Genomic DNA, 27239 nt, shown 5'->3' on the forward strand with positions numbered 1-27239 from the left:
AACAGAACTAGAGTGTAAAACTGCCAAACTGTTTGTGGAGAAAATAGAATGAGAGGGAAAAATGATGGAGGCAACAAAGCAAGGGAATAAAAATTTAGAAACAGTAGAAGTTACAAAAAACGATGATAGAAATGAGCACAAAAATCCCCATGCCCAATTGATTGTCTTACAGATTATTTGAAAGACTTTAACTTTTATTGTTTCGTTTACATTTATTTATTTCATAGTAAAATTCAGTCTTCTGAGTATACAGTTCAATGGCTTATGACAAACACCTACAGTCATGTAACCAAGACCAAATTCAAGAAGCAAAGCAGTTTTATCACCCTTACTAATTCCTTGTGTGGTTCCATCACTCTAAATAATTCCCTGTGCTCCCCACTTATCCCCTATTCACCCCAGTCCCTGGCAACCACTAATCTCTTCGTTACTCTAGTGTTGCCTTTTCCAGAACATCATGTAAATGGAACATAGACTGAATTATACCCTTTGAGCATGGCTTCTTTCACTCAGAACATTCCATTTAAGATTCATGAGTATTGTTGCATGCATTGATAGGTTTTTCTTTTCTATTGCTGAGTAACATTCCACTGTGTGAATGTATCAAAATCTGTTTATCCATTCACTCACTGAAGAACATTTGAATTGTATCCAGTTTGGGGGCTTTGTAAATAAAGCTGTTGGGAACATTTGCATACAGGTTTTTGTATGAAGGTTAATTTTCATTTCTCTTGAGTTCACCTAGCAGTGGAATTGCTTTCATGGAAAGTGTATGTTTAACTTTATAAGAAATTGTCAAAATCTTCAAAATGTTTTCAAAATGGCTGTATAATTTTGCATCCTCGCTACCAATGTGTGAGAGTTCCAGTTGTTTCATATACTTGTCAACACAAAGCTTTTCTGATTCTTTCATTCTCATAGGTATGTAATGGCATCTTTTTGTAGTATTTGCATTACACTAATGACCAATAATTTGAGCATCTTTTTATGTTCTTATATCATCCACATATCTTCTTTGGTGAAATGTCTATTAAAATATTTTGCCCATTTTTATACTGGTTAGTTATATCTGAGTTTTGAGAGGGCTTTACATATTTTGGAAACAAGTCCTTTGTTATATTGCTTTTCTCATAATATTTGTGATATTTGCTGATTCTTATCTCTCCATGGCTTGTCTTTTCATCCTCTTGGTTCTGTTTTGGGAGGGAAAAGTTTTCAATTTTGATGAAGTTTACTTTATATGTTTATTTCTCTTTGCGGATCATGCTTTTGTTGTTTACATCAGAGAACTCTGCTAAATCTAAGATCACAAAAATCATTTCTAAGTTTTCTTCCAGAAGTTTTATAGTTTTATATTTAAGTCTGTGATTGATTTAAGTTTTTTTTTGTATGGTGTGATATCTGGGTCAAATTTTGTGTGTTTGTGTAAATTGTGTGTTCATTGTGTAAAAAATTAACTCAATTGTGGATGATTAGCATCTTAAGAATGTTGAGTCTTCCAATCTTGAACAAGTATATTCTCCATTTATTTTTGTCTTGTTTAATTTCTTTTGCTGGAGGGCATCTGGGAGAATAGGCAAACCTGGTAAATGAAGGTACAGCAGGGATTGGGGTTTGAAGGGGCAATGTGACTTGTGCATTACTCTCTCCAAGGCCAGGAGACAAGGCAAGAACTAGAAAGATCAGAAGTACAAGGCATGAGTGACAAAGAAGGTTAGTCATCCTGGCATCATGCAGCTTTAAGATTGTCCAGTCAACTGTTAGTGGCTCCTCCTAGCAGACTTCCTGCTTTTGCTTCTGGGTCTCTGGAGTGTGTCTGCACTGTCTTGCCCCTTTGACCAGAAACCCTTGCTTCCTCCACACTCCCTAAAATCCTCAAAGGATAAACCTCCAGCACTGGAATCTCCCTCCCCAGACAAAAGCTCTGCACAGATGTACTCATGTCTCCATCGGAGACCCCCAGACTTAGAGCCCTCTGAAAACTGGATGGTCAAGATAATAAGTTATTGGGACTTTTGTATGCCAGATGTGACAGTCTGCCAGGTACTTTATTTACGTCTTATGGGAGTCTCACCACTGGGAGGGAAATGTTTTCCAATTTGACAGAAAACAGAGGGGAGGTATTTGTTCTGAATGCATTTGAAGCCTGGCCCCTCAGTCAGCAAACTTTATTGACCAGCTCCCACTTTAGGGACTGGGCATGTGAAAGAGGGGCAGAGTCCCAGCTCTTGTGGACCTTACGTTTTAAACAGGGAAATAGATTATCCAGGAAACACACAAATAGAAAAGTTTTGCTAGTGGATCAAGAACATACAAAGGTAAGAGAAAGTGGCAAGTGTGTGCCTGGGAGTGCTACTCTGGCTGGGGAATTTGAGAGGCCTCTGAGGAGGCCCTGAAGACATCCAATGGAAGGCCATACAGAATGGTGAGTACACAAGCCCTGAGACTGGCTAGGGCTTTTTGTCCAGGGCCTGAGTGAGCAATGTAGCTGGGATCAAGGGGAGAGGAGCTGAGCAGCAGGAGATGGGGCAGAGGGAGGGGTGGACAGGGGCCAGAACACTCCACTCTCATAGGCCTTGGAAAAGAGGGGATGGGAAGATGCTTGAAGGGGCAGAGGAGTTGAGAGTGGAGGCTATTCCACAGGCATCCAGGCTAAAAGGGAGGGGGCCTGGAGTGGCCTGAGGCTGGGAGCTGGAGGGGTAGAGAGGAGCAGATGGAGTGGATGAGAGGTGTGAAGGAAATGAAAGATGGAGGATGTAGGGCTTAAACTGTGGAGGCCAGAGAGGGAGGAGAAATGACAAGTGGGTTTTGAAACTAAAACCCAAGCACTTTAACACTGACAGGAACTTTGCCTTTTTCTTCCTCGTCTCTCATTGGCCAGCACAGTGGTGAGTACATAGTAGATATTCAATCACTTTGATCACTTATTCAATGAACACTTCTTACAAAACTACTTGCCTGGTATGTCACAGGCACCAAGGATATACCAGTTAATACAGTGATATTCATGTTCTCTTGGAGCTGACACCATAGAGGGAGAAGGGAAAAATAAATTGTGTGTGTGTGCATGCACATATGTGTGTCTGTTTTGATATGGGCAGAAGGGAAAAGAGAATGGAGGAGGCTGTTTTGGAAGTGGTCATAGTTGGCTTCTCTGATAAGGTGATATCTGAGACCTCAAAGGAGTGAGCAGGTGAGTCTTAGATGGAAATATATTGAGGAAGAACACTGAAGACAGAGGAAGCAGCAAGTACAAAGGTTCAGAGGTGGGAGGGTGCTTGTTGACTGACCAGTAGGTCTAGTGCTTGTTGACTCACTAATCAGTACCTGTGTCCCTTCCATTAAACTTGGAACTCTCTAAGGAACATGCCTGGGTTTTCCTCATGAGGCAAGAGTGGTCAGAGGGATAGGATATGGGCCACTTTCTCTCTCTTTATGCTATTCTTCTTTTCCCAACCCTGGCCAGGCTTAGATGTAGGGGTCAGGGAAACACAAGGTTTGGTTCTGTTACAATCTGGAGAAAAGGTAGAGAAAGCTAAGGAATAGGAAGGTTCTGTGCTGTTCCAGACCCCACCACTCATACCCATGCTGTTTCTGCTTTTAACACCTGCAGGTCCCACCCTCTCATCCAATTCCACACCTCTGCCACTGTTGTGGCATCCATGACACTAAAACTTTCTGTTTCTTGTGTTACCAGCCACAAGTTTTTAGTCTCCCATGCAATAGAAATTGACACAAGGCCAAGTGAGTTTCCCAGACAAGGCTTTATTAGGGGCTTATGCTTGAATACATGGGAGTCAGCAGTAGAGTCAGAGGTCTCCGGATGGCTCCCCAAAGACAGGTCTTTTTGGTGTTTTAAGAAAGTTAACATGAGAAGCATAAGGTAAGCTAATATCATTACATGGGTTGGGAGGAGTGTAGAGTGTGCAGGCCCGGTGAGATATCATGTTAGTACTTACATCGCATGATCAAAAAATGGTAGACAAATCCCTCCCTGGGTGGGGATTTCCATATGATAATGAGGCAAAGGGTAAAGATTGGTCATTGTTCTGGTCCTGTGTGCATGGAGGTGATAGGATTAACTCCCTTGAATGAGAATTATGATAGAATGCTTCTTATCTTAGTTTCTTTATGGTATTCCAGCCAGTGAGGATGGCACCAGTGGAAGTTCAAGGTCTGGTAGTCAGTGGGTGGAGAAAAATGCATTATGGGGGTGGAGGCAAGTCCTGTCCCTACTCTGTCTCACTAGGATATGTACCTTCTGGTGCATTATTTGCCTTTCTGGCTATTTTGCTAGGGATTGAGAGTAATCTCACTGTGGGAGTGCAGTGGATGTGGTCAATTCCAGCTGCGCCCCAAGGCTTCAAGACAGAGGCAGTATGTAGGAGACTCCAAAATCTTAGAATCTCAGCTCAGATTACACCTAGGCTCTGGCTCCTGTCCTGGCCCTTAGTCATTTCCCCTTTATTATTCCTCAGTCATTTCTGTTTCTCTAGCTATCTTGCTGACAGAACATGTTGCTCTAAATTCTGCTGATTCAAAATTCTTCTATTCTTACCAACAAAGCATAACAATATCTCCAAATATGCCTGCCAGTCACACATAAACTCTTAGAAGGCATACAGTAAGTGCAGATTACCCAATTCAGTAATTTATTCTGATTTTAATTCTAGACAGTCTCCTCCTGGTGAGGTGAAATGCTGTGTCCCAGAAAGTCCATCCCACAGAGTTTTCTAAGGCTCAGTGAAGGGACCTTCAACAGAGCCGGGTCCTCCTTTCCCATGTGAGCCCCTCTTCTGGATCCCAGAGCTATAGATGGAAGAGTGAGTGGATTCTAGAATGACTGAGGGGAAGGTAGTTGGGGGCCATCAAGGGAAGGTCTCAGAGTAGAGAGGAGCTAAGGTAGCTGGGCCTGGCCAGCTGCTCTTTGCCTTAACTCAGGAATTCTCAAAGCCTGGCCCCTGGGCCAGCAAGATCAACACAATCTGAAGACTCACCTCAGATATATTAAGTCATATCCTGTGGGTTAGGGCTCAGCAATCTGTGTTTCAAGAAACCCCCAGGTGATTCTGATGCAGAATGATGGCAAGAACTCAGACACCGATTGGGACTGCCAGGCAGGTGGAATCCTTGCTCTCCAATAGATACTGAATGTGAGAGGCCATGAGCAAAGCCCTGCTGGAACTGGGCATCCGTTTCTCCATTTGTCAAGTCCCAGGATTTTTACCAGGTCTCTGAAGCAGTGATAGAATCAGGTGAACATCTCAGTGGGAGATGCACACACAATTGTAACCGTCCCTCTTTCTCACTCTAGAGGGAAACGAAACTTGTTAAGTTGCTTTGAATGTCTTTAGGTAAAGTCACAGGTGGGCTGCCTGCCTCTCTGAATGAGCCAGATAATTTGATTTACCCTATTTAGTTACAGATCTTGCTATACCTTTAGCAGAAAACCCACCACCACTACCACATACTTTCCCACAACCTTGGAAAGGAAGAGACATGTTTTAGTTGGAATTTGCTGTCCCTAGACTCTCCTTCCTCTTCCAGTCTTTTTTGGAATGGGGACTTTTCTGTACTGCCTCCTGTACTGCCACTTTCACTCTTTTGGCATGGTGACTTTTCTGTAGTGCCTCCTTAAGATCTCAGGTCCCATCAAACTGTAGAAAGAAGAATTACATTTGTTTGACATGTTTGCTTCTCTGATAGCTTCTGAGGAGATTAGGAGGAGTGCAGATTTTTACATCCTCCTTTAGGGCTGAAAGTACGATTACCCCATATGGTTCTACTGCCTTCACACTTACCAAGTCTCCCCATAAGAGCCTGGCCTTTTACATATATTATCTCACTTACCAAGCACAGCTCAGAGATGTTAAACAAGTAGCCCAAGGTCACACAGTGGGTGGTAATAGTAGCAGAGCCTGGATGTGTGCTTCCACCCTCTGGACCCTGCTACCTCCCACAGAGGCTTCACAGTGCAATCTGGGACTGGCACTGAATCCTCAGTCCACCTCAGACCCTGTCCTGGCCCTCAAGGAATCTGCTCCCCAGTCAAAGCCTTCCTCTGAGGTTTGGAAGTGAGGGAGTGACTCCCCAGTCCTCCTCCTGTTACCAGTGGATGGTCTTGACTACAAGTTGTCCTTGTTCTTGGCATTTTAAAGAAAGAATTGGTAAAAAGGTACAAACAAAGCAACAAAAGAATGAAGCAATGTAAGCATAGATTTATTGATGTGAAAGTACACTCCACAGAGTGGGAGCAGGCTTGAGAAAGGGGCTCGAGAGCACTGGTTGCAGAATTTTCTGGGTTTTAAATATCCTCTAGAGGTTTCTCATTGGTTAGTTTGTTTACATCCTACATAAATCATATAGTGGCCCACAAGCAGTTTGATTGGTTGTTGAAGGGGACCATCCAGAAGTACTTTCCGTTTTTCATCTGCAATGCAGTGGAAAGTGGGAATTGGTGGCATGATTTGCAAAAGGAGTAGCCTCTGATCCTTTTGTTACTTGATTGTGGAGAGGTGGGATTTTCCTTTTGATTCAGTTCTAGGAAGTGAGTGTGAATCATCCTTAGGTTCCCAGCCAACAGATCCTGTCTTCTACATCACTCCTTCAGACCTGGGGCATCTCTCTCCTTGCCAGCCTGCTCCTCCCCTTGACTCCCCTGGGGCTCTGCAAGGCTGTCTTTGATTGCTGTGGGAATGAAGGAGGACCAGAGAGACCACAGAGTTAAACAGGAGGATTTTTACTGAGTGCACTCAGACCCAGCAGATTAACAGCCAAACACTGGTCCCAGAACAAAGACAGCACTTGACTTTTATACACGCTTCTAAGGTGGGCTAGCTTGAAATAAGTTTACGGTGGCAAAAACGTAGTGGCATGCAAGCAAGGATACAGAGGCAGAAGAAAGGCAGTTAATCAAGTTGTGACAGGTGTATAACTCAGGATTACATGTGACTCTTGCTATACAGCCTAGATGGCTGTTATCCAGGCTTGCTCTAGTGCTTTGCATGGGCTTATCTCATAACTTTTGCTATGGTGCCTAGATGGCTGCAGTCCAGGCCTGCCTACTCAGGCATCTCATGACCTTCACTTGCTGCATAGATAAAAACAGGATACTTGAAGTTACTAGTTACAGAAAACAGAAATCTATAAACTCATAAGTTTACTCATATCATGGGGGAAAGGAAAATTTGTTTTCTTCTCCCTTTGTGGAGGGAATGCTGGAAGTCTCCAGAGCACATTCCTTTCAGTCCTGGCTTCTTAGATAATGTTATCAAGACTTCACCTGGGTCCAGGTTTTGCCTGTTACTGCCTTTGGGATGATTCAGCCTAATATAGAAAGCATGTTTTGCTCTTTTAAATTTTATTTTTCTTTCTTTCTTTAATTTCCTGCCTCATTTCCCCCCTTTGATGCTTCCTATAAATGGAATTTAATAGAAAGCTTCACTACAATTTTTTTCTTCACTGACAAGGCAGATCTACTCTCTTTGGCAAATGCTGATACTTAGTTAGAGCCATTAGTTGAGTGGTGGTTGTTTTGTCTACTAGGACTTCTATGGTTGATTGGATGCTCCTGGTAAGAAGGAGCAAGAGGCAAGGGAGTCTTAAGCAACCTCCTAATATAGCCAGCACCACTTCTATTAATATTTTAAATCCACCAAAGAATGAAAACCAACCTCCTAAGAGGGAATCTGCAGACCATCCTGGTTTCCAGGTTTGGACTGTAACATGAGCTAATTTTCACATCTTGGCAGTCATTTCTATAATGGCTTTCCCATTGTCATTGATTTCTAGGCAGCAATTTGTTAGGTTGTCTGGTTGTGCATGCAGGTTCCTAGGTGGGTTCCTGCACTCATAGTAAGTATGGTATAGTAAAGTCTTAACTACTGTGTTTCCTTTCCATGTAGTATGCATGCAGGGAGGGCATCCTTCTATGAGCTCTTCTCCTTATAGCATAGATATGGTTGCCATCAAAGGTAAAGCAAAGATTAGCATTCTTACACCCAGAATGGGCAGAAGAGGTGTTTTCCCAGGGGAGGGGGTTGGCCAAAGCAACAGAATAATGGAAGTATAATTAATAATATAAGGAAAGTTATTGGGCCTAAAATTTCTGGCCACATTTACTCATTTGATGGTGACTCTGCAAGCTTCGGCTGTGCATAGACTAGTCAGCTTCCAGAGTGACTAGAGCAGGGCTTGCTGTTTTATCAAGGTTTTGCCATGTGTGGAATGGTTAGCTTCTGGAGTGACCAGAGCAAGGCTGTTGTGGTCCTCAGTGACATCTCGGTCTCATGGCATTATCAGCTGGTTCAGATGGTCTGGGTACTCCTGGCTGGTCCACTTGTCCTGGGCTGCTAGTTTCAGCTAACTGTAGTGGATCCAAGCACGGTTCCTGTAACTTGAACAGCAGTTGGAGTGGACAAGATTACAGGATGGGGCCCATCCCATATGGGTCCTAATGTGGTTGGATTACATTTCTTAACCCAAACAGAATCACCAGGTTTGAAACGGTATACAGTGTCTGTCAGACTTATAGGCATTCTTTCCTGCACCCAGCCATGTACTTTTGGCATGGCCATACCTAAAGCCTGCATTTGCCTCCTTAAAATTAGTTCTCCTAGCTCACAGAGATCACCTTTAATCTGACATATAATTCAGGTGGCCGGCTGAATAAGTTCTCCTAGGGTGAATACCCAGTTTGTTTGGCGTGGGCACACCTGACTTGGAGGAGGACCATGGGCAAGACCTGATCCCACCTCAGATGAGTTTCCTAACAAAATTTCTTCAGCAGCTGCTTGAGTGTCCAGTTCATGTGCTCCACTTTTCTTGAGCTCTGTGGCCGGTAGGCTGTGTGTAACTTCCATTTTATTTTTAATAGCCAAGTTCAGTAATGAACTATTTCAGCCACCAATGCTGGTTCATTGTCTGACCCCAGAGTCAGGGGTAGTCCAAATCTGGGAATAATGTCTTTTAACAACACCTTGGTTACCTCTCGTTTCTTCTCTGTCTGGGTGGGGAAAGCCTCAAACAACCCCGAAAAGGTACAAATAAACACCAACATGTACCAATAGCCTCCTGCCTGAAGCAGCTCATTAAAATCCAGAAGCAAATTTTCACAGGATGTGGCTTAAATTTCTTGAATTCCCGGGGTTCGGGTAGGCCCCTGCTGAGGGTTGTTCTCGGCACAAGTTAGACATTGTTCACAAATGGCTCAGGTAATGGCAGTGAGCCATGGCACATAGAAATGTCATCCTAGCAATGTTTCTTGTGCCATTTTTCCCATATGAGTTCCTCGGTGGAACTGTTTCACAAACCTGGGGGCCACCATTTCAGGTATGGCTAGCTTCCCATCAAAGGTTTTCCACCATTCTCCCTCAATGTATTTCCCAGTTTTTTGGGCAAACCAGGCCCTTTCATTTGAAATGTAGCTTGGGGTCTCCGGGAGGAGGATCTCCCAGAGGGGAGGCATAGCTAAGGCTTTCTCTCTAGAAGGCAGAGCTGCCATTGCTGCCTGTTTTGCCTCTTTGTCTGCCTTCCTGTTCCTTTAGCTTCTAGTGTTCCTGATTTTTGGTGCCCTTTGTAGTGCAATACTGCCACCTGTTTCCGGGCCCATACAGTGTCTAAGAGCTGTAGAATTTCTTCCTTGTATTTTAGTTTATTTCCTCCTGCAACTGCAGGAGGAAAGAAAGAGTTCTCTTTCTTTGTAAATAGTCCCATGAACATGGAAAGTGGCAAAAGCATATTTGGAGTGTGGTTAAAAATTTGCTTTTAGGTATTTTGCTAGTCAGAGAACTCTTGTCAGAGCTGTCAGCTCTGCCTTCTGAGCAGAAGTTCCAGTAGGCAAAAACTGCACCTCTACTACTGAGTCCAAAGTCACCACTGCATGCCCCTCTTGGCGTACTCCCTCTAGTATGAAACTGCTCAAATCAGTAAAATACTCAATGTCCGGGTCTCCGAGGGGCTGATCTGTCAAATCTCTCTGGCTTGAGAACACTTAATCTACCATATCCACACAGGACTAAAGGGGGCTTCCTGGCACTGACAAGATGGAGAGAAAGGTAGCCAGGTTTAGGGTGTTCACAGTCTCTAAAGCTATGCTGGGATTCTCACATAGAAGCCCTTGGTATCGAGTCATTTTTGGATGTGATAACCTAAGGTGTCCCCTTTGGTCCATCAAAGTTATAACTGAGTGCGGTACCCGGATTTTCAGTTGCTGCCATAAAGTCAGTTTATTATCTTCTTGCACCAGTAGGGCAGTGGCAGTTAGCACATTGAAACAAGTAGGCCATCCAAGCACCACAGATTCTAGTTGCCTGGACAAGTATGCCACCAGGCGATGCCAAGATCCTATGACTTGAGTCAGGACTCCTATGGCCATTTCTTTTCACTCATGGACATACAAAAAGAAAGGCTTAGTTAGGTCTGGCAGTCCCAAGTTTGGGGTCTGAATTAACGCTTCTTTGATTGTTTTTAAGGCCTTCTCCTAATTGGCCTCCCAGAGGAGGGGCTCCATTTCTCCCCACTTTGTGGCTTCATATAATGGCTTAGGCATGAGCAAGAAATTTGGGATCCAGATGCAGCAGAACCCTGCTGCTCCTAGGAACTGTCTTATTTGATGCCAGATAGTTGGAGTGGGAAGCGCACAAACAGCTGAGACTCCAGTGGCACCTACAATAGTTTCACAGTTCTTGGATAGTGGCCTTATAGGTCAGGTCACTACCAAGTGTTCAGTCCTGGTGTCTACCATAAGGTCCATCAGCTGGCCTTCAACTAGTAATATGACCATACGTTCCTAGGGGCCCAAAGAGAAGGAGCCCGGTCTGTCTGAGACCTCATATTCTTCAGCCCCTGCCATCCTGATCAGGTCAGTGTCTGGTTCCTCACAGGGTATGGTAGCCCTTGGCCAGTGGTTTTTTCATACCGTGGCCTTAACCATTCTCCACGTTATTATTCTCTGGACATTCATCCTTCCAGTGTCTTTTCCTTTTGCATCACGCACATTGATTTCTCTTTAGCCTTGGCCGGCTCTCGAATCCCTTTCCAGACCAGCCTCTTCCATGACCGCATCCATGACCCCTTGCAAAGCCAGCTTCTCTTCCTGTGAGGTCTGCCGCTGGCTAATCAGCCTTTTTCCCAAGCCTCCGTTCAGCCTCCTTCTTTGCCTTCTGATCTCAGTTAATGTACACCTTGATAGCCACTTCAATAAGCTGAGTAGCATTCATGCCTGCAAAGCCTTCTAACTTCAGCAATTTCCACTTGATATCTCCCTGGTCTGCCCTACGAATGCCATATTCACCACGCGCTGATTTTCAGCAGCCTCAGGGTTAAATGGAGTGTATAACTGGAATGCCTCACAGAGTCATAAAACTGTATGGGCCTCTCATCTGCACATAGTAGCAGCTCTGAGATTTTCCCCACATTGATTGCCTTTTTCCTGTCATCTCTTAACCCTTGCAGGATTGTCTCTTGTTAGCTCTGTGGGTGCTGAAACTGGGTTGCATCATTTGGATCCCAGTGGTGATCCTCTTCAAGAAATTGGCCCTGTGTATATGCCTGGGCATCAACTGTGCCTGCAGGTGCATTGGCTTCTGGCCAATGGAGGGCTGCCTGGGTTACTCTCTGGCGCTCCTCAGTGTTAAATAGCATCAGGTTGAGCTGTTTCAGTCTGGCCCAGTTGGATGGTGCGTTAGGAAGATAAACTGCATTACATCTATAAGGGCCTAGGGCTTCTCTGTGTCAGAGGGAGTATGATGCTACCAGTTTAGGAGACCAGTGGTTCAAAAAAACTGGTAAATGAAGGTTTGTTCTCCTCCCTGGATGTGGCCATGCTCATTATAATAGGTGGGTCCTCTTCTTTCCCTGAGAGGCATTTGCATAACTCAGGTGCAGCCAGACCAGAGATGGCCTGCCTGATGTTCTGGGCCTTCTCCTTTAACTTCCTGAAGCTCCAATTCCTCCCTCTCCGGTGAGACTGGGGACATGTATCCATTTGAGCTTGACTCCTCAGGGGAAGTTAGCCTTGGTAAAGGGTGGTAGATTGGAACACGTGAGGTGACTGCAAAACTGGCTTTTCTTGCCTTTCCTGTGACTTTGCCTTTGTCTCTTTACCTTCCTATGCCGTTGATTTTTCTTTCACTTTGGGTTTGGCTTGAGCTACAAGCATTTTACAGTATGCTGCCAGACAGGTTTGCAGCCATGCTGGTTGAATTTGAATTCTATTTAGCCATAAATCGATATAGGAGAATTTGTCTGGATGCCCTGACTGTCCTCCAACCGTGGTCATCACCTTAAATACATGGCCAATTGTTTCCCTATCTATAGTGCCTTCAGCCAGCCAGCCAACACTAAAAGAGAGTCATACTATTTCACAGAGAGTTCTTAACATCTGAGGGGTTACCTTGACTCCATAATTCCTCACATAGCCTTTCTTAAAATTTTTTAACGTGCATTCTAATGGGGTGGGTCTCAATAATTTTCTTCCTATTTCCTCCCAGTTATGGCACAGCACACTTGCTCAGACTTTTGCTTCAGACCGAATCCCTTCTGAACTTGGGCATCCATTTCTCCATTTGTCAATCCCCAGGATTTTTACCAGGTCTCTGAGGCAGTGATAGAATCAGGTGAACATCTCAATGTGAGATGCACGTAGAATTGTAAACTTCCTTCCTTCTTTCTCACTCTAGAGGGAAAACAAACTACGTGCAATTGCTTTGAATGACTTTGGGTAAAGTCACAGGGGAGCTGCCTGCTTTTCTGAATGAGCCAGATAGTCTGGGGTTTAAACGCCCTCTAGAGGTTTCTCATTGGTTACTTTGTTTACACCTTACGGAAATGAAGTAGTGGCCCGCAACCAGTTTGAATGGTTGCGGGAGGGGACCAAACAGAGGTACTTTCCCTTTTTCATCTGCAATGCAGTGGAAAGCGGGAATTGGTGGCATGATTTGCAAAGGGAGTAACCTCTGATCCTTTTGTTACTTGATTGTGGAGAGGTGGGATTTTCCTTTTGATTGAGTTCTAGGAAGTGAGTGTGAATCATCCTTAGGTTCCCTGCCTCCAGATCCTGTTCTGCCTCACTCCTTCAGATCTGGGGCATCCCTCTCCTTGCCAGCCTGCCCCTCCCCTTGGCTCCCAGGAGGCTCCTCAAGGCTGTCTTTGATGACTCAGGAGAACCTGAAGTGGGGAAGGCAGCCAGGTCTTGTTTAAATTCTTACAATATATTTTAAGACAAAAGTCTGGCATATCTTGTCAGAGTTTTCTACATAGATTACCTGTCACCTGTGAATTAAGATAATTGTACTAATTTCTTTCTTATCCAGAAGCCCTTTTATTTCTTTCTCTTTTTTTAATTTCACTGGCCAAAACATCCAGTGAGGTATTGCTTCTCACAAGATGGCATTAGCTGTGGGGTCTGTCCACAGACCCTGACCCAAACGACCTATGAATAACTCGTACGCTGAGACACTGATACTCTGTTTTGCCAGTCCTGCTGAGTGTCCGACCGCCTGCACACCAAGAGAGGTTTGTCACTGTGGCTGGCCCTGAGCAGCTTGCACTCCAGGCATTTATTTTGTATAGAATTAACAACAGAAGCTTTGAATAAACACACTTATGGATAATTAACATGGTTGATTGTAGTTCTACTAACGATTAAAACTCAGGTACCATGGTTTAAAGTAAATTCCATTAGGGGGCAATATCTTTGGTCAATCTCACCCTGAGAGGGCCATCTGGCTCAAAGATTAGTTAGTGGAGGTAGGGTAATCAGACTTAACCGGGGAAGCCTCTATTGTCCCTAGTATTTACCCTATGACCTAATGCTCTAAGGTAAGAACCAGCTGCCTTCAGCCTGTTTAATTATTACAAGCTATGTAACATTTTGGCCTTCCAAAAAGGTTTGTAAACTATTCCCTGTTGCTTTCCCTAATGTTTCCCTTTAATATTTCTGGCACCATTCTGAGTGAATCCCAACATTTCCCCGTTTTTGTTTTCGGTATCATGTCTTTTTGATTTCAGATTGCAGATATGTACAGCCATAGGATTGTCAGGTGAGGTGGTCACTGCTCTTATTCCGGCTTTGCATCCTAGAATTAGCAAATAATACAAGACAATTATGAGTACAATTAGCAACATTTGTTTCCAGTCTAAGAGTGACCGGTAGTGTTACCTGGCATCTTAGTTTGGTGAGTACTGTTGCTAAGGAACCCCACTGAGGGTATGTTAACTCCTTCCAGCCAAGCAGTTATGTCATTAGAAGCTGGAAAGGGAGTATTTGTTTAAGTAAAAGGGCTGACAAAAGGCAGATTCAGAAGATGAGCTTAATAGAGTGTAGCAGGTATAGGTAATAGGCAAAGTGAGAGAATTAAAAATGAGTAAATTATTTGGCTTAGCCTTCTGCTTCCTTAGCATAATGTGTGAGGCCTGTGCTGTTCCTGGAAGCCACATTGTTGAGGCTGTGGGTCCTTAGGGTTTTTCCTAGGCTGGCTTGAGTTTTTTTTCTTTCCATCCTTGGATGAGGATACAGTCTCCAGGCTGGTGCTGGTGTACTGGAAATTCTAGGGGTGGTACCTGTGCTAAGAGATCTTTATAATCTTTAAAGAGCAGGATAGTACTTCAAGAAAAACTTGTGCTTCATTTTAATGTCTAGTTTACAGAAAAAAACTGGATACTTTTTTAAATTTAGCCAATATGTTTACATATAGAATTTTTTACAATTAACATTTTACAACTTGCTTAGACTTTCAAAACAAAAATTATACATTTCCTGCATGAATCCCTTTTATAACATTCTTCACGACTTTCACAGACAATTTTTGACATGCCTTAACTTTTTAACTCTGTTTTGTAATCTTCCTTACTAAGGGTGCATTCTTATATTAATAACTTTTTAAATATTTCCTTTTCCTTCTTCCCACTTTCTTTCCTTAGTCTTTCTTTTTGTGTCTCTTTCTGATCTGTTTCTTCTAGTTTCTTTTTAAATCATTCTTTCCCTTTATTTCTCTTTCTAGGGGTGGACATATGCACACATTCTTTCTCATGTTAATAATTTATTTGGACCACACCATTTATTACTGTTCACATTTTTCCATAAAACTGCTGGTTTTATGCCTTGAGAGGTTTTAGCAAAGTGTTTTTCTACAGCTGATTGAAATTTGTCATCTGAATTTAGAAAATTATGGGTAAACAAGGTTTGTGCCAGTAGTGTTGCAGGGTCTTTACCTATATTCCCCTTTTTCTGATTTTTTACTATTGCTTGACCTTTGGAGTTATATGGGATGCCTGTGGAATGTTGAATATTCCACGTGTGATAAAATTGTTGAAATTGTCAGCTGGCATAAGCTGGTCCATTATCAGCTTTAATCTTTGTGGGCTATCCTATAAATGCAAAAGTTAAAAGATGTTTAATGACATCTTGAGTAGACTCTACAGGCAGAGCATGTGCATTAATTAAATGAGTGTTATTATCAATGGATACACACACATATCTTAGTTTTCCAAATTTAGGCATGTGTGTAATATGTTTGCCATAACTGCTTAGGTTCCAATCCTCTAGGGTTAACACTTGTTGAAGGAGGGGACGTGCCTGTGAGCTGGCAATCTGGACATTGTAGGATAATTGTTGTAGCCAGCCTCTGAGTAAGTTGAAATTGTTTAGATAAGTTTCTCCAATTTTGGTGGAAAAATTGATGCGATTGGGTGGCTAGGCCTAGCAGTGATGTCATCACCTGAAGGTCTGCTCGTTCATTGACATAAGCCAATGGGCCAGGCAGTGAGCTGTGGGCTTGAATATGTGTAATAAAAACAGGATGTGTACGTTGGTCCAGCAATTGCCGAAGTCAGAAAAAGAGTACACAGAGTGTGCACCAGAGTAAACTTAATTGAGGCTGTAAAAGTTCTTTAACAAATACACAGAGTAACCTGAGCTCTTTGAGTGCCAGTAAACCTAGATCCAGTGATTGGATTATGTGGTCTCTATTAGACTACTGCTCTTCCATGTTTACCAGACCCATCAGTAAACAGTGTTAAAGCATTTGGTATGGGGGATTGCAATACGGCTTTGAATTGCATTTTACTTAAAGGAATTTTGATGATATCGAGTCATAACTTAGCAATTGACTGCATTAATCATTAAGATGGCAAGCTGAAATAAATAACGTGAAGTTTAAAAAGAAAATCTGAAAGCATCTTTAGAAGCAGAGACTTAAATTATATATTTTAACCATGTGCTTAAAGCCACAGGCAGAATAGCTTAAATGTTGCAATGGAGTTCTCAGGCTGACCAAGTTTATGGACTTTAATCTGGAAAACAGTCTTGAAAACAGTGACTCACTAACTGGGGAACTTAATTTGGGACTCTTTTAGCAAGTATGAATCAAAGACTATCTGTAATCAGTGGGTTAAGACAGTCATTCATGCATGTTTTGGCTACACTTACATATAACTCTTCTTCACCTTTTGAGAAGGGCACAATATTTTCACCTTTTAATTGAACAAATATCATTTAATTAGGTTTAAAGTTCTCCTCTAAGGGTAATGTGTGGTTTTACATGCCTAACTTTTAATTATTCTTTAATTCATGGGCCCTCCTTAATCTCTCTCCCTTCAGAGGCTACTGTTTTACTTAAACTGGATTTGTAGAGCTACCTCGGGGGTAGGAGAGAGATAACAGCAGTGGCTATTATCTGAAAAGAGGTTTTTCAAATTCTTACATTTTACTTAAATTTTAGCAGAGAATTATAATTTGGGATGTCACTTGTAAACAAGGAGCACAGGAAATTTTGCTGTGGGCTGTCTGCAAAGCTAGAGAGTCAGGCAGGTGCGTCCTGGGGCTTTGGCTGCTTTGCACTTGTAAAAGCGCTGCTTTTTGCCTGTGCTGGCTCCCTCCCGCAGGCACCCATTGGCTGTTCCTGGCCAGGGTGGACCCCAGCCTCCCCTTGGGCTGACTTTGTTGTATGTGCCTCTCGCCCCTCCCCTGCAGGCTAGCTCCAATGGTGGCTTAGCTCTTCGTTGCCTCTGCTGCCATGTGGGCGGAGTTTTAGTTTTTTCTCACTGCTTGCTTGGCAATGCAGCTCTAGCTTCTAATGCCCTTTTTTAACCCTTTAGGTATCTGATCGCTTTGCCAATTTTGCGTTACTGGGCAGGCTAAGAGATCTTCTTTTAATTCAGCCTGCTTAAGACGGGAACTGATAACTGTAGTGTATCCTCTGCCTTTTTTCTTATCTATTGGAGGAAGCTCAGGTAAGACCTCCTTTTCCTCTCTGTTAATTCCGCCTGGTGATTAGGGCCCAGGGAAGACGAGGTGATAAGGCAGGTAATGTTTCCTCTTCCTGCCCCTTTTTAGGCTTTTCCGTGTGTGACTGAGCCAGGGCTGCTCTAGTTAAAGCCCATAACGTTAAAGCTGTTACTGGGACTTGCTGCCTTTGCAACTGATGTTTTTAAGATCTCTCCCCACTTGTTTCCCGGAGCTCTATGTCTAGCGTTCCTTCTTCTGGGAACCATGGACTTTGGGATTTAACAGTTTGCATTACAGCAATTTGTCTAGCATGCATGATTAGGTGCCTTAATTGAGCCTGTGAAACTGAAGCTCCACTAGCCTTAAGCAGCTGTTGTAATACTTTTATATAATGTTTCTGCTGTGCTAATAACTGTTGTCCCATGATGAAATCTCAGCTTGAACCAACTTTCCCCAGAACTTGGTAACCTTGAGTGGGCACCAATGACTTACTAGTTACTCACTGACTTGACCACGCGGTTTTTCTTCACCTTTGTTTCCTGGGGGCCCGTCGCATTCCTCAGGCTTCCTTTGCAGCTTTCCTCATGAAAGCGGTCCTTACACTTCCTTCATAGCTTGCCTTACAAGGGGCTCCAACTGCGGAAGGTCTGTTTCTGCAGACCCCTGACTGTCCTCACACAGCTCTCCTCACATGGGGCACCAATTGAGGTATTGCTTCTCACAACAGGGCAGTAGCTACCTGTGTCTGCCCGCAGACCCTGACCCAAACGACGGATGAATAAAATGTACACTGACACACAGATAATCTGTTTTGCCAGTCATGCTGAGTGTCTGACCGCCTGTAAACCAAAAGAGGTTTGTCACTGCAGCTTGCCCTGAGTAGCTCAGACTCTAGGAGTTTATTTAGTGTAGAATTAACAACAGAAGATTTGAGTAAACACACTTGTGGATAATTAACATGGTTAAGAGAGTAGTTCTAGGAATGATTAAAACTCAGGTACCCTGGTTTAAAGTAAATACCATTAGGGGGCAATATCCTTGGTCAAACTACCCCCAAGAGGGCCATCTGTCTCAAAGGTTACTTAATGGAGGTAGGGTAAACAGATCTAACTGGGGAAGCCTGTGTTGTCCCTAGTATTTACCCTATGACCTAATGCTCTAAGGTAAGAAATGGCTGCCTTCAGCCTGTTCAATTATTACAAGCTTTATAACCTTTCAACCTTTCAAAAAGGTTTGTGACTATTCCCTATAACTTTCCCTAATATTTTCCTTTAATACTTCTGCCACCATCCTGTGTGAATCCCAACAATCCAGCACAATGGTGAATAGAATCTGCCAGAGCAGACATTCTTGACTTTTTTCTAGTCTTGGGAATGCATTCAGTCCTATCCCATTAAGTATGATGTTACCTCTAAGTTTTTCATAAGTGTTCTTCATGAGATTTAAGAAGTTCCCTTTTATTCCTAGGTTGCTGATATTCTTATTAGAAATAGATATCAGCTTTACCAAACTCTTCTTCTATGTCTATTGAGATGATTCTATGTATATATAGAAATTTTAATTATTCTAATTGGCTTATTACAGTGATATAATTTTCAAAAGTTAAACCAACCTTGCATAACTGGTATTTACCTGTTAGTTCTTGCATTTATCTTTATATTGGCCTGCAGTTTTCTTTTTTTGTAATGTTTCACCCGTATATTATAGAGCTAATTTTTCCCTATTGCTGAGCCAAACTTCTTTTTGGTATTGTACTCAATGCCCCCCAAATTATGATGTTTTTTTCTAGGTCTGACAGGAACAGCAATATTCCCAGCTCTGTAAGACCTCCAGGGATTGTTCCTTCTACTCTTTTTAGTTAGCTGGTTTCTCAGACCTAGGTAATTTCCTCACATGCATGTGCAGATCACTACTCATCTAAAGACTCATGGGGACCCTCTCTGTACAGTCCTCTCCTGCCCTTCGAAAGCTAAACTCATTGGCTTCCCTGAACTCATTTCCTTTTCCTCAACTCAGTTGCAAATGAGCTTTGCCTGGATTCTTTCACCTGCATCATGGCCTAGAGCCTCTCTTCAGGCAGTAAGCTGGGGCAGTCTTAGAGTCTGGATCATTTCTTTGTGTTTCTCAAGGATCACTGTCCTTCTTTGACTAATGCTCAATGTCTTGGAAGCCATTTTGAATATTTTGTTTATTTCTCCAGGTTTTTCAGGCAGGAGTGCAAATTAGTTCTCTGTTATTCCATGGTGGCCAGAGTAGAAGCTCAGGATGCTGCTTTAAAAAAAAATTTTTTTCCAAAGTCTTTAGTTTTAATTAGTGGAAATAATGTGCTATAAAGGGCTTACTTTATCTTGGCTGCCCCTATTACTATCAAATATATAAGTATAAACATACCAGAAGGTTTCTTAGGCAGATTAAGGGCAACTTCAAAATCTCACAAGGAACATAATGTGAAATAATGAATCGTTATAAGTATTTCCTTTACAATGAGGAAGAATACAGGAGTGCTCACAATTACTGCCTTTATTTAGCTGGTAAATAAAATTTATTTTAGCCAATGCAGTGTGATAAGAAAAATTAGTAAAAGATAATATTTGAGGATTGAAAAGAAGGGAACAAAGCATATTCATGAAATATCCACAGATAATATCATTACCTATTTTTGAAACTAAAAAGATTTATAGATAAAATATTAGAATGAGTTTAAAGTAGTAAACGGGCTAGGTTTAAGAATGATATTTACAAAACATTGGATTTAGCTTAGTCAACAATATCAGAAAATGTAATACCCCCCAAATTGTTTTATAATGCCTAGAAAAATATTATTTACCTAGAAATAAATGTAAAAATGATTTGTTAACCTTTTATGGAGAAAATTATTTTGTTGAAGACACAAAAATGTGACATAAGTCAATGACAAGGTATACTAATGAGTAGGAAATCTCAAAATTAAGACAGTAGTTGGTGAATATACAGAAAAATATACCATTGGAACAGAACAGAGAGAGTAGAGACAGACTCACGAATTATAAGAAAATATCTTTGTATTAGTTTGTGCTATGGTGTGAATCTTTGCATCCCCCACAATTCATATGTTTAAATCCTAATCTCCATGGTGATGGCATTAAGAGATGGGTCTTTGTTGAATGATTAGATCATGAGGGCTCTACATTATGTATTTTGTTAGAAAAGTTCAGACTAGACAGACTATTAGGGGTAATAATGTACCACAGACTATATGGCCTACACAACTGAAATGCATTATCTCATCGTTCTGGAGGTTCTAAGTCCAAGGTCAAGATGTCAGCAGAGTTGGAACCTGTTGGTGCTGTGAGGGAAAGATCTGTTCCAGGACTCTCTCCTTGATTTGTAGTTGGCCATGTTTTTCCTATGGGTCTTTGCGTCATCTTCCCTCTGTGTCTGTCTCTATGTCTAAATTTTCCCCTTTTCTAAGGATATCAGGGGTATTGGATTAGGGGCCCATCCTACTGCAGTGTGATCACATTTTAACTAAGTTTATCAAGAAGAAATGTATATCCCGATAAGGTCACATTTTGAGGTACTAGGGGTTAGGACTATAACATGTGAATTATGAGGGGACACAGTTCAACCCATAACAATCTTATGTTGCAAACCTGGCAGTACAGATCAGTGGAGAAAAAATGAACAATTCAGTCAGCATCACTGGAGTAATTTCTTATCTATATGCAAAAAATAGAAAGTGATACCTACTTCAAGCTATATACAAAAAATTATTCCAGATTACATACTTGAATGGTAAAAGCAAACATTTGCAATTTTTAGAAAACAACAGAATACATCCTTTGAAAGATGTTGTAATGACATAAAAAGATTAATAAACTTGACAACAATAAAATGAACAACTCCTGTTCTTTATGACACCTGAGAATAAAAAATCAAGAAGAAACTCAGAATACATGTTTAACACGTATGATGAATAAGCAATTTATGTCTACAATATTAAATTACTTCTAGAATTAATACTAAAAAGAAAAATAATCCAGTAGAAAAATTTGCAAAACACTTTGGAAGGCAGAGGCAGGCAAATCAGGAGGTCAGGTGTTCCAGACCAGACTGTCCAATATGGTGAAATCCCATCTCTAGTAAAACAGTACAAAAATTAGCCAGGCGTGGTGGCATGCACCTGTAGTCCTAGCTACTTGGGAGGCTGAGGTGGGAAAATCACTTGAACCCGGGATGTGGAGGTTGCAGTGAACCGAGATCACACCACTGCACTCCAGCCTAGGGGACAGAAGAGACCCCTTCTCAAAAAAAAAAAAAAAAAAAAAAAGACATAAACATTTTAGAGCCTGAAGCATGAAAAAGGAAAAAGGGTTCAATTCCATTAGTAATTAGAAAACTACTGTTGAAACCCTCAATAAGATGCCCTATTACACCCACAGAATTGGCAAACATTAAAATATGGATAATACCAAGCTTCAAGCTTTGATGAAGACATAGAATAATGAGAACTCTCATTTCTCACTGGTTGAGGTGCAAGGTGGTACAACCATTTTGTAAAATAATAGGGCAATATCTATTATAATAAGGGAGATTATGCATTTTCTTCTTCTTGTTCTACTATTGCCTCATGTTTTCAAATATTTATTGCTCAAATCTATTTCTGAAGTTGAGCATTTCCACTTTTACATCTACACTTGAGAGACACCCCTGCATATGTGCACCAGGAAACATATTCAAAGATATTCATAGAAAAACTTGCCACTGCTTTTAGCAGAAAACCCCTGAATGTGCATAAGCAGTTGATTCTTCAGTGAATTCTCTCTAACTGTAAAAGTGGATAGAGAATTTCATCAACTACAATGAACCTCAAAAAAGTAGTGCAAATCACAGAAGAACAAATTCAGCTGGATGTGTTTATATAAAATCAAACCAAGCAAAACAAAAGTTTACTATTTATACCTTTACTACATATATATGTCTCTAAATAAGTGTAAGACACTACTAATTTTAAAACAAATTTAGACTTAGTGGTTGTCCTTGAGAATGAGAAAGGGAGATAAGATGAAGGAGGGACACACTGTATGCCTCTAATGATTTGTAGTGTGCTATTTTTTAAGTTGGGAAAGAGATACATGGATGTTTATTATATGAAATATTGGCTGTCATAAATTGCTTTTGAATGTAGAATATGTTTCATAGTTTTTTAAAAACACAGTGTATAAGAGGTAAAGGAAGAACCTGAGAAGTATTCACAGGATACTAGCTTGGGTAGTCAAATGGATAATGACACCATTGTCAGATTCAGAAACACAGGAAGAGGGGCACAATTAAATTTTATGACTCTGGTTTTGAAGGGGTTAAGAGTGAAATGCCTCTGACATATCCAAGAGTAGATGTCAAAGAGGCAACAAAATATTAATATCTGGAGGTTAGATGAGAGGTCAGTGCTGCGGAGATAGATTTGAGCAATAAATATTTGAAAACATGAGGTGACGGGAGAGCATCAAGATAAAAAGGAAATCACTATTCCTATAATCTCAGCTCATTCCATTGTACCTACCTACTAAATGATCCAAGCCCAGCTGTCCCTCCTGATTTTACTCCCTCCAGGCTTATTCCTCTATTTATATAGATTAGATCCAATACTTCAGGCTTCACAATGATTTCCTTCTGAGTTATGAATATGTATTATTTTTCTGATTATTTTTAGTCATCTATCTGGGTTGTCTTATAGCTCACCAAGCTATTCAATGACAATTATTTTAAATTCATTATGAGACAGTTCATAAACTATTATTTTTTTAGGTTCAGCTATTGGTTATTTTTTTTTTCCTTTGGTGGTATCATTTTTCTCTGATTGTTCTTGATCTTGATTTTTAGGCAGTGCATTAGTGTCTGCACATTTGAAAAACAAGAAACTTATTCTAGTTCTTGCATACCGGCTTTATCTGGAAAAACCCTTTCCTAGTCATCCAGCAACTCTTTGTAGGGTGTCTAGTGTGGTCTGCAGGTGAACTTGTTGCCAAAGTCCTCAGGCAGGCTGGCCTGGTGCCTGTGTTAGCAGATGGTAGGCCTGTTTCCTGGGTCTGTAGAGTTGGGCCTGAAGCCTGGATCAACTGGGGTGGATCTTTTCATTGGGTATGTGGGGATGAACGTAAAGCCAATTTCTATAAGGGCAGGTACAGAGCCTGTTAACAGTAGGTGCTGGACTGAGCATGGGTCCACAGGGGCTAACATGGCTCTGAGGCGTGCATTGAGCCTGTGTCTGCAGGGGCTGGCCAGATTTTGGAATGAGCATAGTGTCTGAGTCTGCTGGGATAAGCCTGGCATCTGAGTCCATGGGGACTGGCCTGGTACTGGTGCAGGACTGGAGCCGGAATCTGGAGAAATGGGCCTGGGATCTTGGTAGACGGGGGCAGACCTGGAGCCTGAGTCTTCAGAGATGGTCCTAGAGACTTTGTCCATGATGGCCAGCCTAGCAACAGGGTCTAATGAAGTCGGCCTGTACCCTGGGTCTGCTAGAGCACAGCTGGGCCCTGAGTTTGTTGGATGCTGGGTTACAAAAACCAGCCTGGAGTCTGATGCTGGCCTAGGGCTGTGGTGAGATGGGGCCAGTCTAAAGTTTGAGACCATAGGTGCTAGACTGGTGCTTGTAGCCACAGGGGTGGGCCAAGAATTGTGGAATGGCCTGGAGGCTGGTTGTGTGAGATCTGTCCTAGAACCAACATATTCAGAAGTGGGCATGGACACTAGGGCCACAAAGGGTGGCTTGGGTCCTAGGGCTGTAGGAACTGGACTGGAACCTAAGTCCACAGAGGCAGTACTAGATACTGGGTCTGTAGGCACCTGCCCAATACTGGAGTCAACTGTGATGGGCCTGGACCCTGGGTCTGCTAGAGGATGGGACCATAGGAACTGGCCTGGAGAGTGGGGTGGCAGAAACTGGCTTAGGCCTCGGGAGGCCTGGAGCCTGGGTCTGCAGATGCTTGCCAGATACCTGACTAAGGCCTAGGGCTAGGGCTGCCAACCTGGAAATGGGGTGGGCCTGAATCCTGGATTGGTGTGAGCCAATCTAGTTCTGGGCCGGTCTGGAACCTAGGGTGGACTTGGAGTCTGCGACCACAGGGGCTAGCCTTGTGCTAGGCAGTCCTCGAGCCTGTATCCACAGGGGCCAGATTAGGGGTTGGATATATGGACACTGGCATGGTGACTAGAGTTGCAGGAGCTAGCCTGGTCCTGGGGCTGGCTTGAAACCTGGAGTTGTCGAGGCCGGCCTTGTTCTGGGAGCAGTCTGGAGCCTGGAGTCACTGGGGCTGGCCTGGTCCCAAAGACTGTCTGACATCCAAGGCACTGGGGTAGACCTGGCATGAGGATATACCCAGAAACCAAGTCCACCAGGCAAGCCTGGAGCCTGGGCTGTGTGATCTGGTCTGGCTTAGTGTGCAGGTACTAGCCTGGAGTTTCGGGCAATAGTCGCATACCCATTACTGGATTTTACTGAAGCAGGCTCTGCGTTGGAGTCCAAGGCAAAGTTCAGTGCTCACTTCACTTTTCTTCTTCGACACAGAGATTGCCTCTCTCTGTGCCCTGCTGCCTGGTGTTGTGGGAGGGGTGACACAGGAAATGAAAAATTGTTCTTCCTATGCTCTTCAATTAATCTTTTCTTATTTCTCTGCTACACAACATTTCTGTAACCTTTCACCTGGTTTTCTTAGCTCTTCTGAAGGTATTTTCATGCATAGATAGTTGTTTAAATTGATGTTTCTGTGTGAGGATAAATGCTAGAAAGTCCCATTCTGACATTTTGCTGATGTCCAGTTTCACGGCATCCAATCAGATTTCTATATAACGATTGTCAAAGTGGCTCAGCAGCATCAGAGACAGGTCTCCTGCTAATTTGGAAAGAAAGATTGCAGATCTTATGTTAAATGATCTTATCAAACACACACATATATACACACAATAATAATAATAAATAGAGCTGTCAAAACTTTAGGAGGTGATGAATATGTTTATGGCTTTTGTTGTTGTGATAGTTTCATGAGTATGTATGTATTCACCTCTATATTCATCAAGGTTTATATATTAAACACATACAGCTTTTTGTATGTCAATTATACCTCCATAAAGTAGTTCTACAAAAAAATAAATAAACACCATAGAGGAAAAATACTTTTGGCCTCTTTCTCCATGAAGTATGACTTCTATTTCAGGTTTCTGGTGGTTACTGAACTTCCAGATTTTCTGATGATAAGTATAATAAGAGAAATAATATGTTAGGCTAGAAAAGACAAAAATGCAGGATTTGAGGATGAATCAATCAAATTTTTTCATAACATAATAGGACTTATTGTTCAACATATTCAAGCCAGTACCAGGCTAGAGTGAGAGAAAGTTTCCAGATCAAATATTTGTGTAAACTAATTCAACTAAAGTCTCAAGAGGAAGAGATTCATGATGAGATATCTGGAGTCACAATGTGCAAAATTCATCACAAAGTGGAAACCAGCATCTTACAATACAAAGAACAATGGCTTGGGATTCTGAGCATCTGGGTTCTGGTCTTGGTTTTGCACATGCAATCATGTGTCCACTTCCCAGGACTTAGTTTCTTGAAACTAGACAATCTCTACTAAACCTCCTATCTGATTTTCCTCCCTTTCAGGAAGTTAGGCAGGTGCTCAGATCAGCTTTTTGGTCACAAAGGATGAAGGAAGAAGGCAGGTGTCTTTCTTAACCACAGTTTTGGGACATGGCTTTAGAGAATGCATTAGCAGGGACTAAGCAAATAATGAAAGCTGAATTTGGGGTAGAAAAATGGGGAACAGGAGACGAAAGAATCAGAAAGAAAATATTAAGGAGCAACAAAGAGTCCCCTATTGATTTGTAGTATAGCCAAAGTTTTGTTTTTCTCTTCCTTAGACTCTTAGAGGACTAGAAGACATCAGAGAGCTTTAAAATGTTCTAGGATGCCAAAGCCAAGAAAGCATGTCCTGTGGATCCGACACCTTCTCAGTTCCCTGATCTAGCTAAAACCAAATACCACTTGCTGATTTCTCCGGAGGCACTGAAACCTCATCACCAACCCAGAACAGTTTAGCATGACTTGTTCTCTCCATGAAGTCCCTAAACATCCCCCTTCTTCCTCTCTAAAAGCTTCAAGAATCCACTTTCATGTCAAGTTTTTCTACAGAGGCAGATTGTTGTTTATATCAAACTCCAGAAACCCTCATCCTTTTCTGATATTTATTTAAGTTGGTGCTGTCAGTCTTTTCTACCATAAAGAACCTGTGTTTACTTGGCTCTTCTGTGTCTTGCCACCAGCCACCAGTCAGTTAAAACAGCTTTCTTTTGCTACAGAGAGGTGCAGCCACATCTAAAGCCACCAGCAGTGCAAGGTCCTCTGACTGCATTAACAACCCCTCCCTGAGTGTCCAGATATGAAGAATCTGCTCAATCACCAAAGCTCCTGAATTAAGAGTTAGGATGCTCCTTTGGACCTTCAGGAGGAACTTCATTAGGAATTCTGAGATAGAGCAAGCATTGCTGGGGAACCACAGGTCCCAGTGTCCTCCTGTCATCTCAGAAGCCAGTAAAGAAACCTTCTTCCCTAGAAAGACTTCTGGAGAGAAAAAAATTCCCCAAGATTTGAGAGCATGAGAGTCTCATGGTGAGGTCCCTGGTGAACAGAAATCAGAAAAGTACTAGTACACAGAAGAGATGTACAAGCATCTAGTCACTGCCTCAAAGTAACTTTGAATTTATTATGACTTAGATTGAGATAGAGTGATTCTTTGACTGTTCGGTCCGTGCCTGAAACAAACATGATTAATATCCATAATCTTATTAATTTTATTATCCCTAGGAGGCAAAGTCTCCAAAGTTTTCCAAATGATCTTGCAAAGGCAACTCTCCTCAGATTCCCTAGGAAGTTTTCAGATTTTATGAATAGGTGCCAACAGCTATCAGATGTCTTCCAACGATGGCTGCTGCATCCCAGTTTCACATTGCTAAGGGTTAAAGAAGGACA

The 27239-nt window shown here is 42.2% G+C and overlaps 1 protein-coding gene and 1 long non-coding RNA gene across 9 annotated transcripts in view, besides 1 other annotated feature; one reads left to right on the forward strand and one right to left on the reverse strand.

Moving 5' to 3' along the window:
* The window catches only part of GLYATL1 (glycine-N-acyltransferase like 1), a 50926-nt gene that overhangs the window by 5117 nt on the left and 18570 nt on the right, over positions 1-27239 (forward strand). For 4 of the 8 annotated variants that reach the window (NM_001220494.4, XM_011545357.3, NM_001389711.2 and 1 more), the window contains exon 1: positions 17032-17232. The exons of the other annotated variants lie outside the window; for them this stretch is intronic. The gene's annotated coding sequence lies outside the window, so the exon portion shown is untranslated. Of the gene's footprint in view, positions 1-17031; positions 17233-27239 lie in introns of those variants that run through there. 8 annotated transcript variants of the gene reach the window in all.
* Positions 16770-17284: an enhancer, noted in NCBI's record as "OCT4-NANOG hESC enhancer chr11:58694840-58695354 (GRCh37/hg19 assembly coordinates)". NCBI's record gives its function as "activates a minimal SCP1, AML or CMV promoter by ChIP-STARR-seq in primed H9 embryonic stem cells {active_cell/tissue: H9 hESC(primed)}" and the evidence as "EXISTENCE:reporter gene assay evidence [ECO:0000049][PMID:30033119]".
* GLYATL1-AS1 (GLYATL1 antisense RNA 1) overlaps positions 23046-27239 on the reverse strand; it is a 124810-nt gene continuing 120616 nt past the window's right edge. The window contains exon 6 of the long non-coding RNA NR_033853.2: positions 23046-25101. This is a non-coding gene — a long non-coding RNA (GLYATL1 antisense RNA 1). The remainder of the gene's footprint in view (positions 25102-27239) is intronic.

Source organism: Homo sapiens, chromosome 11 (genome assembly GCF_000001405.40).
Source record: "Homo sapiens chromosome 11, GRCh38.p14 Primary Assembly".
Lineage (NCBI taxonomy): Eukaryota > Metazoa > Chordata > Mammalia > Primates > Hominidae > Homo > Homo sapiens.